Genomic DNA, 9,959 nt, shown 5'->3' with positions numbered 1-9,959 from the left:
CAAAAAGAGCGAAACTCTGCCTCAAAAAAACATACAAACAAACAAAAACACATAGCTTTCTGTTTCTTTGGGTCTTCATTTTTGAAGGTTCTCATGTCATGTAAAACATTTACTAAATAAATATGAGTGTTATTCTCGTTTATCTGTCTTTCATCATAGTGTGTCACCTATTGGCTTTGTTGACAGGTGAGAAAAATATATTACTTTTTCTCTCTCCTAGGTTGGGGGCAACTCCCTACTAATGTAAGATTTTGAAAGATGCAAAATGTTCATCTCACATCACAATCGTAACAATGTACATGCAGCCAAAAATAACAAAGAGTTTCATGAATCACATTTTCACTGGGACTTGTATATTAATACCATTGCTTTAGACTTCTCCTACATCATTACTTTAGGGTAAAAACATTTAAATGGAGCATGAAAAGAAATTACTCACCGTAAATAAGCCTAGTTATAGTTTTATTTTAACCAACAATTTTTTCGTGTTCTTCATCTGTAGCTTCTTTGTGACCTGAACAAGGTTTGAGTAGAAATAACTTCTCCCAAAAAGCCAAAAGGAATTACAAAGAGGATTAGCAAAAGAAGAAGCCCTATTTCTTTTAAAAGCTTGCAATATTAAGTGCCTTCTTGCTGGTATAGATTAAATACAAATATAATAAAGCAAATGTAAGTGATATTATAAATGAGAAATTAGATATAACCAAAGCTATGAGAGAGGCAGTAAAAACTAATTACAAGACGCTTATAATAACTTATAACAATTAAAATTATTTGAAAATGGAAAGTAAGTATTGTTTTTACCACAAAATACAAACTACTAACCATCATAGATCAGACAAAGACTTACCACTTTTTAATTACCAGACTCAAACAATTGTTTTAGCCTTTTTCTAATCAAATTTCAAATAACATATAATTGCTAGGTAATACAAAAATTTGAAAAGCCCGGAATTCCTCAGATTTTTCCTGTTGTGGTTATTGGATACTTGCTGCAGGTTTCTGCATAAAGGCTATTTTACAAACAAGCAACATTTTTTAGCAGTAAGATACTAAAGCCATCGTCATTCAAAGAAGGCAAAAACGGGCACAAATTATAATAATCATTGTTATATTATTGTTTTGAAGGTTAAGATAAAAAGGATAAATGCAATTTTAAGTCCAAAATCAGGAAAGTATTTTTGAAATGTATGACAGCTAAAGGATAATATCTCTTAACTATAAATCACTAAAGGAACAATATTTTTCAGAAGAAAAATAGAACTATTCATGATTTGACCAAGCCTTTGGACACTAAACAAAATATTTCAAAACATTAATAAAAAGAAAGCAGTCTCTAATCTTAATGCAACAGACTGAGAAAAAATAATGTACGGAAGGGTACAACAGAATGCTTCCATGAGGTATCTTTAAAAACTGTTTCCTAAAATGGTTCTTGGTCAAACAGCTGCTGGCTCACTAGACAAAGAGGAGTGTAGTTAGCCTTGGACAAAAAGGAACTGAAGGAAGACCCTGGAAAAGATCAAAAGTGACCTTCATTTTATGGAGAGAAACAAGCTATAACATGTAGTATCTAAGCTGATTAGAAGAACTAAAAAGAGAAGCTCATACTTGTGCATCAGAAGGTAAATGAAAGAGTGAAGTTACCTCTTTGTTTTAAGGAAGAAAGGAAAATTGTGGATGTCATCTGTTTTCTGTTTACATATTTCAGGCATGGATAGCCACAATGTGATTTTAAGACGGTTAGTTACAACTGATTTGAAAAAAAAAAAAAATGCTTCACTCTATGAGAAATTTCTTCCCAAGTATGAAACCTTGTTTTTACAGGCAATTTCCTATACTTTGAAAAAATCAAAATAATAAAGTAAAAGAAAAATAATTCAGGTGAAGTTAGAGAAAAAAACAGGCAGCATTATTTTAAAGTTGTAAACTATTTTGTTTACTTATAGTTTAATTTACATGTAGTAGATATGCATTTGTAAGGTTCTTCGGCTCAGGTAGGAGATCATTCTATTTCCCACTGCACCCTACTTCATCCTCCCACTGGCAAATAATTAGATTATCCCTGGGAAAAAAAGATGCCAGTAAAATTGATCATGTTTAAATGCATCAGTTGCTAGGTGATTTATCTGATTAAGTCTTGAAACAGTAGAACCTAGCAATTAAAGTGAGCATTAACTTCTACCTACCAAATCAGAAGACTATTCTAACTTTTTGAGAATTAGATGTTGAAAATATGGCCCATGAATTTAGCATGGTTAAAATAAAAAACATGCAAACAAAACAAACCCAACATCTTGAAAGGACATTTGACTCTAAAGTCCCAAAAATAATCACAAGTCTAAAAATCCTAAGTTTAGTGTTACTCTATTACACCTTTTTATTTGTAAGTGTCCTTTCACAAAAGTTTTAAATTTTGCTCTTGTGCATTTTATTTACCTTTTCTTTTGTTGTTTGTGTCTTTGGTGACCTGCCAACCATTAGACTTCAAAAAACAGCCTATAGCCAAGCTGCAGGATAAATGAACACATAAGTTGACTTAGAATAGTCAACTCTGTCTAGTATACAATTTATGGGGGATGGTTTATGACCACATATATTTCTACTTTGATGGGAATATCTTGAGATAAAATTAGAGAGAATGAGTGGAGTAATATTCACAACATTTTTGCTGCATTCATCCCTGAATTTGAAGAAATACCAAAGTACATCTTGTGAGGAGAAAAAATAAATAAATTCATATAAAATGTTGTGGGTTTTATTCTTTATGCAGTGGTAAACTGTGTTTGCATACACCATAGCAATTAAATTAGGGCTACAAAGGGTATTTAACTAATGAGCATAAAATACCTTAATGTACCTCAAATGCAATTAATTGCATTGGACCAATCTAAGTTACTATTCTTCAGTTTTCATTTTTATTTCATTATTCATTTCATTTTTATTCTGATATAAAAATGAACCAGGATCTGTGTGAAATTATTTGAATCTAATGTCTTTGAACATTTTTCTTACCATACCTTAAGATTAAAAAAACAAAAAAAAATCCCTTAGTTTGGCAACTTTTGCTGTTGGTTAAGCCCGTTTGGATTTAACATTGACAGGACCAGCTAACTTCCTACCAGTTAACATTGCTTGTGGGCCTGACTGATGTAAAAATATTTAACAACTGTTGAGAAATAGTCATCAGTGAATCTTAAAGGTCGTACTCATATAAAACAATATAGCGCTTTAACTTTTTATTTACTGAATTTGAGAGAAAGGAATAGTGTTCCAGAAACTGGGATCACTCAGGCGCTCAGGGAAGCATATGGTTAGCTGATGATATAAAGGCCCAATATTGGAAGAACTGTTAATGTAGTCCCCTGGAGACAGTGAGTGAATTATTAGCCCTGGTTGAGAGATTAAAATGTGTTGATATGATATTATAGAGGCAAATTTAATGCTCTCGGCCTCCCCCTGCATCCTTATTTTTGCATGTAGGTTTATTACTTTACAGGAGAACCAACACTTTTTTCCTTTTTTTTTTTTTAAGTGGTTGAGTTTGTTTTTCTGAACCCAGAGGCATGTTTACACATTTCATTAATTTAAGTACCAGAGAAGTATACTGAGAACCTACTACATGTCACACACTATCCTAGGAGCTGTAGACAGAAAAATAATAAAATCTCGTGTCTTTATTTAAATTTTGTTGACTGCCACCCCCAAGTGAGTCTCCTCACACACCCCGTCCTGTAATATATGCATCTGGGAGGTCTTTTTTGCCTTCTTAAAAACATATAGATGGTTGGACATATGTATATAAGAATATAAAATTCACCACTTTATCTTTTGTGAATGTGTGCTGTGAAGAACTCCTTTACTGGGGTGATGGAACCAGTGGCTACAAAGTAAGGAGCTGGTTTACTGCTGTAAAGGGTTCGCGGCTTTGAATTTCAAGCTCTGGTTCTGTGTCCTTGGGCACCTGCGCGTGAATCGTTGCCGCGAGGCTGGGCCAAGTTAAGGCCCCACGCAGTTTGGCTTCCGGGCCAAGGAAGCCCCACAGGGTGCCCCACAGGGTGAAGCCCCATGCCCTACAGGGTGAAGCGGCTGAAGCTGGTAGTGGTTCCGAGGAAGCGGTCAAAGTCCCGCTCCAGAGGTTCCTCTTCTTGGTTGTCACTCCCGGAACCCCGCCAGGGGTCTGGCTTCCCCATCGACACCTCCTCCTGTTCAGTCACCATCACGTATCCCACGAGGCCGGACGGCACTGCCACCTCGTCGCCCCGTAGACTGCGGCCCCGAAACTACACTTAAGAGTCCCTCGGGGCCCTGGCGGATGGCAGGCGTGATGAAGCGCCACACCGTGGTGGGCCGCAGGGTATCAGGTGTAGTGTGGCGGGGGCGGCGTCCTGCAGTGTGGCTGGGCGCAACTGGACGCTGTACCTCTCCATAGCCGCCTAGTCGCCGCTCTCCATCCTCGCTCCTGTGCGACGCCACTTTATCCCTCTTAAACTGGACGATTCAGTAGTACCGGGGAACGAAGGCAACAAGACCTAACCATAGCAACAACATTTTGTTTTTGAAACCCATCTTGCAACTGCCTGACTGCAAAATGTACTTGCAGATTCTGCAGACAAAAATTGCTGCCACTTATTAAAAGACTTCATAGTGAAAACTGACTTTTTACCCAAACCACTGATTCAAGGACTTTTGCGTAGAAACTCATGAACTGTTAAGATAACCCTTCATTACCAATTAAGATAATAGGTTGTAAGTAACCTAATGAGTACCAACTTTCTCTTATTTCCTTTAAAAACTGTCTCTCAAAACAGCCGGTCACGACACAATGTCAGATGCTTCTGGAATCTGTTTCTCTAATTACAGTTCTAAAACTGCCAACAAACTCCTTATTTGGACTTCAGTTTCTCTGACTCTTTGGTTCACCATGTTGTGCAGCCATCACCTCTCTCTAGTTCCAGAGCATATTTTATCAATCCTCAAAAGAAACCGTGCATCCACCAGCAGTAACTCCCCACAACCTCTTTCATCCAGTCCTTAGCAACCATTAATCTGGTTTTAGTCTCTATTCATTTGCCTTTCCTGGATATTTCATATACATGGGATCATTCAGTATCTGGCCTCTTGTATCTGACTTTTTCACACAGTGTAACATTTTCAAGGTTCACCTATGTGGTGCCTTGTGTCATTTTTTGCTATTTTCATGTCAGGTTTTGAAATGGTATGTTTTTTCTCATCTTGTAAGGGATTTCCTGTTGTAGAAAATCTGTTTCTGTGTATGACTGCAATTTAACCATTTTATTTGCTATCCAGATACATGTTTTAACTTGAGCCAACTATATTTCCACTTTGTATAATGAATACTAAATTTTGTATCTTAGATACTAAACTTTAGTAGATAACTAGGATACAAATTACAGTTTTCATATTTTTCTTTTCATGGAATATAATTTTTTAAAGTTTCTGATATTAATTCATTATAACATTTACTGGACAAACCAACCACATTTGGTTCTATGAACTCTTTTCATATTTTACGGGATTTTTATTTTGTTGTCTTAGGAATTGTGGCATCATTCAGTTTTGCTGAGAGTTTATTTTTATTAATAGGTTCTGTGTACTATGCAACCTGTAGTTGTTACTCCTGTTTTGCAAATATGGCATTAAAACATTGGTGAGTGGGGGGACTTTCCTCCCATTTTATTTCAGCAAAGAAATCTTGTCATTTCTCTTCAGACTTTAAGATTTATTGAGGAGAGTTATTCACTTGTTTAGTCTGGTAAACTGTGACCTTTAAATTTTGAAGGAGGTTGAACTAAAAGGTGAAATATGATAAATTGATGGCTCTATTTGTTGTGAATGGAAATTTAATTTAGACTTGTAAAAGATTGTTTTTTAAATTGCTAATTGTGTGACAGTGAAGAGAATGACTTCAAAATATCCCACTATACAATCTGCAAAGAAAAGAATTGTGTCCCCTTTTTAGTGTAGCTTAACACTTCACTGAAACTGTTTTGAGTTCTTAGGTCATATTTTTTTTTCTCTAAACGAAACAATTACTTTTCTAAAAGTCAAATGTTAGCCATCCTAGAAGTTGGGCATAAAATACTTGTAAGTATATGCTAATATTCTGATACTTAATGCCTGTGAAAAATGTGTATAGAATTTTCAATTTTTAAATAGAAGTGAAGAAAAAGCGATAATAATTACTATAAATTCAATATGCAGTTATGTATGTATGTGTGTGGTTAAGACAATTAGGTTCTCATTAAGCTTTGTTTTTTTAAAGATAACATACACATATATTGATAATGATAAACAATTCATATAGCTTTTTGTGTCCTCTCGTTTTGTGACATAAAAGGTCAATGAAAAAATTGGCGATTAAGTCAAATTCGCATTTTTCAGGACAGCAGTAGAGCAGTCAGGGAGGCAGATCAGCAGGGCAAGTAGTCAACGTTACTGAATTACCATGTTTTGCTTGAGAATGAATACATTGTCAGGGTACTAGGGGGTAGGCTGGTTGGGCGGGGTTGAGGGGGTGTTGAGGGCGGAGAAATGCAAGTTTCATTACAAAAGTTAACGTAACAAAGAATCTGGTAGAAGTGAGTTTTGGATAGTAAAATAAGTTTCGAACTCTGGCACCTTTCAATTTTGTCGCACTCTCCTTGTTTTTGACAATGCAATCATATGCTTCTGCTATGTTAAGCGTATTCAACAGCGATGATTACAGTCCAGCTGTGCAAGAGAATATTCCCGCTCTCCGGAGAAGCTCTTCCTTCCTTTGCACTGAAAGCTGTAACTCTAAGTATCAGTGTGAAACGGGAGAAAACAGTAAAGGCAACGTCCAGGATAGAGTGAAGCGACCCATGAACGCATTCATCGTGTGGTCTCGCGATCAGAGGCGCAAGATGGCTCTAGAGAATCCCAGAATGCGAAACTCAGAGATCAGCAAGCAGCTGGGATACCAGTGGAAAATGCTTACTGAAGCCGAAAAATGGCCATTCTTCCAGGAGGCACAGAAATTACAGGCCATGCACAGAGAGAAATACCCGAATTATAAGTATCGACCTCGTCGGAAGGCGAAGATGCTGCCGAAGAATTGCAGTTTGCTTCCCGCAGATCCCGCTTCGGTACTCTGCAGCGAAGTGCAACTGGACAACAGGTTGTACAGGGATGACTGTACGAAAGCCACACACTCAAGAATGGAGCACCAGCTAGGCCACTTACCGCCCATCAACGCAGCCAGCTCACCGCAGCAACGGGACCGCTACAGCCACTGGACAAAGCTGTAGGACAATCGGGTAACATTGGCTACAAAGACCTACCTAGATGCTCCTTTTTACGATAACTTACAGCCCTCACTTTCTTATGTTTAGTTTCAATATTGTTTTCTTTTCTCTGGCTAATAAAGGCCTTATTCATTTCAGTTTTACTGGTATTTCATTTTAAACTTAATTTCAAGACAAGTTGTGTCAACACGATTAACATGCAAAGAAATAAGACATCCAGAAGTGAGCCTGCCTATGTTTGTGGCCGTCAGAGTACTAACTTGATACAAACGGACACTGTGGCTTACTTTAAATGCTCTAATGAGAAACACACTTGAAAATTGTACCAAAAAAAATCACACTTCTATATGCAGCGTGTTAAGCAGTCCTCTCTAGACCGTGTATTCATTGGTCTTTCAGCTACTTTGTACGTGTCTATAAATTGCAGGTAACTAAGGAATGGATATGTAAGCAGGATCAAACTTGTTTCTTTCTCTCCCCTTCACGCTGTGGAAAAAACCAGTTTTACCTCCACTTGCAATTCAGTTCCTTTACTCCATATAAATCCAAACGGTTGACATTTCCTTTCAACTAGTTATAAAATGCCTCTGGTAAAACAAAATATTTAATTCCTTGTCATTTTTGTATCTCTATGAAACTTATCATTTTGCCTTTCTTCTGAAAACTATCTTTTAAAATGGCAATCTACTTGTTTCCATGGCCTATTAACTTTTAAGCCTGTGGAATGAAAAATACAGAATTTTCATTCTCAACAGGAATGTTGAGAACGCCGACTACCCAGATTATGGAGATGGAAGGGCGGGGGCTGGTGACCCAACTGGTTTAATTTGATGGGATTTAAATAAAAATGTAATGCCAAGACTTCATAAAATTTGCACATAAGCTAAAGCAGGAAACTAGAAGTTTACAAATAACTGTAAACCACAGTTTAAAGTATAAATTACAAATAAATTTTTCTACAATAAAAATAAATCAAAAGTCAAAATTAATGGTATGTATCAAAGTCAGCTTTCCAATATTTCAAAACTTTTCAGAGACATTACCTTAAATAATAAAACTCAAACACTAAAAGAGTGTATATTAGAGATGGATGTCATGTTTCTCAAAGTTCAGGGTTTAAAAAAAGCTTTATTCCAGAGACAATATTACTTAATCTGAGCTTTATGCCAAATGAGAACTGTATATTGCCCATTACCTTTTAAACACTGACTCAAAACTACTTTGTAATATTTAAAACCACTCTTTTCACTCTCCCAAAAATAACACCCATTCTGACCTTCATTACCATACATTAATTTTCCTTTTCTTGAACCTCTGACACAGATTCTCTGTTTGACCAAACTTTAGTCAGGTTTCTGAACCTTCTCCTAGACTCGCCTGTGCACTTCCTTGCCAAACTCAGTTTTGGCAAAGAACTCTCCTAAGCCAGGTTAGCCAGACTGTACCCCCACCGCATATCTGATCACACTCAACACTTGATCGATCACCCTCAATATCTGATCAGGTTTCTCATCCTCCACCACCCTCTAGGTGATGTCTGATCAGCCTAGCCTGTCTTCAGCAAGAATCCTCCTTATCTATGATGTCTTCTCTTAGTGATTGTCCATCCATTGACCCTACTCCCTGCTCCTTGGCTATAAATCCCCACCTACCCAGCTGTGTATGTGGAGCTAAGGCCAATCTCTCCCCCAGTGCAAGACCTCATTGCTGTGCTGTTGGTCGTGAATAGTCTTCCTTATCAAGTTTGAACAAGTATCACTGAATACCATTTTTCCTTAACAATGTGAATAAATATAAATACAAAATATTATGTGGAGCTTCTTTTGCTTAATACATTTTGGTGGTTTTCAGATTATTAAAAATTATGACATCATGCATGTATACATTTTGGAAAGACTAAATCAAGCTAATGTATCTACTACCTCATATACTTCCCTTTCCTTTTGCACTGGGAACATTTAAATTGTATTCTCTTAGCAATTTTCAAGCATACAATACATTCTTATTACCTATATTCAACATGCTTTACAATAGATCTGAACTAATTGCTTCTATCTAGATGAAATATTATAATTTTTGAATAACAATACTCATCTCTTCACCTGACCCTACTAGAGGGTAGCCACAATTCTACTCCCAAAAATATGAAAGACTTCACATTTGAATACCCTCCTGGCCCAGGGACAGTGTTATTCTTCTCCATACCATTCTAATTTTAGTGTATATGCTGCCCAAACTAGAATTTTTAAGAAAAAATTGTTGTGCGTATTTCATTCTATTTTTGTTGGACAAATGAATGGACACTTACTGGTTTCAATTATTACAAACAGTGCTTTTTTATACATTCTTATACATGTACAATGGAGAACATTTATAAGAATTTCTGTGAAGCACACTCCCAGGAGAGGAATTGATACTTTATGTATGGTTTACTTAGGAATTACTGAAATGAAGCATTTTTGTATTTTTGTGATGTTTAAACAAACATCAATAAACAAACAAATTCTAACTATAAGTATCAAGTGTGCTTTGGCTGCCAATGGATGTTTGCTATATTTTAAAATGCCAACACTTAAAATACATTAAGAGGGAGCTTGGTACTGAATAAAGAACACAGGCTCTGGAAGGTAAACCCTTCAGCTTTGGCTCACTTGAGTGCCACTTACAGGC

The 9,959-nt window shown here is 36.5% G+C and overlaps 1 protein-coding gene and 2 pseudogenes across 1 annotated transcript, besides 10 other annotated features; 1 reads left to right on the top strand and 2 right to left on the bottom strand.

Moving 5' to 3' along the window:
* Positions 1,677-3,051: a transcriptional cis regulatory region, noted in NCBI's record as "-3.3 kb to -5 kb region". NCBI's record gives its function as "required for expression in the genital ridge" and the evidence as "EXISTENCE:transgenic organism evidence [ECO:0001131][PMID:16411204]".
* Positions 1,677-6,677: a promoter, noted in NCBI's record as "-5 kb promoter". NCBI's record gives its function as "drives expression in the genital ridge, migrating truncal neural crest cells, and epiblast" and the evidence as "EXISTENCE:transgenic organism evidence [ECO:0001131][PMID:16411204, PMID:22539273]".
* On the bottom strand, positions 3,842-4,475 carry RNASEH2CP1 (ribonuclease H2 subunit C pseudogene 1; annotated as a pseudogene).
* Positions 4,607-6,581: a promoter, noted in NCBI's record as "PstI/HpaI fragment for -1975 promoter". NCBI's record gives the evidence for it as "EXISTENCE:reporter gene assay evidence [ECO:0000049][PMID:8434602]".
* Positions 5,662-5,694: a protein binding site, noted in NCBI's record as "WT1 site SRY1". NCBI's record gives the evidence for it as "EXISTENCE:protein binding evidence [ECO:0000024][PMID:9815658]".
* Positions 6,268-6,581: a promoter, noted in NCBI's record as "HindIII/HpaI fragment for -300 promoter". NCBI's record gives the evidence for it as "EXISTENCE:reporter gene assay evidence [ECO:0000049][PMID:8434602]".
* Positions 6,351-6,379: a protein binding site, noted in NCBI's record as "NHR1 (nuclear hormone receptor site 1); -327 to -298 SF1 site". NCBI's record gives its function as "positive regulation of transcription; antagonized by cyclic AMP" and the evidence as "EXISTENCE:protein binding evidence [ECO:0000024][PMID:11207191]".
* Positions 6,513-6,536: a protein binding site, noted in NCBI's record as "FP2 DNase I footprint; Sp1B site". NCBI's record gives its function as "required for promoter activity" and the evidence as "EXISTENCE:protein binding evidence [ECO:0000024][PMID:9582429]".
* Positions 6,521-6,553: a protein binding site, noted in NCBI's record as "WT1 site SRY2". NCBI's record gives its function as "required for promoter activity" and the evidence as "EXISTENCE:protein binding evidence [ECO:0000024][PMID:9815658]".
* Positions 6,539-6,553: a protein binding site, noted in NCBI's record as "FP1 DNase I footprint; Sp1A site". NCBI's record gives the evidence for it as "EXISTENCE:nuclease protection assay evidence [ECO:0001106][PMID:9582429]".
* Positions 6,582-6,613: a protein binding site, noted in NCBI's record as "CP2-2 site". NCBI's record gives its function as "positive regulation of transcription" and the evidence as "EXISTENCE:protein binding evidence [ECO:0000024][PMID:19902333]".
* Positions 6,599-7,426, top strand: SRY (sex determining region Y). The gene has a single exon (NM_003140.3). The coding sequence runs from the start codon at positions 6,678-6,680 to the stop codon at positions 7,290-7,292; it is 615 nt and encodes a 204-aa protein (NP_003131.1). The 5' UTR covers positions 6,599-6,677; the 3' UTR covers positions 7,293-7,426.
* Positions 9,428-9,532, bottom strand: RNU6-1334P (RNA, U6 small nuclear 1334, pseudogene; annotated as a pseudogene).

This window comes from Homo sapiens, chromosome Y (genome assembly GCF_000001405.40).
Source record: "Homo sapiens chromosome Y, GRCh38.p14 Primary Assembly".
Classification (NCBI taxonomy): domain Eukaryota; kingdom Metazoa; phylum Chordata; class Mammalia; order Primates; family Hominidae; genus Homo; species Homo sapiens.
Note: the sequence above shows the minus strand (reverse complement) of the source record. Positions and strands in the feature narration are given on the sequence as shown.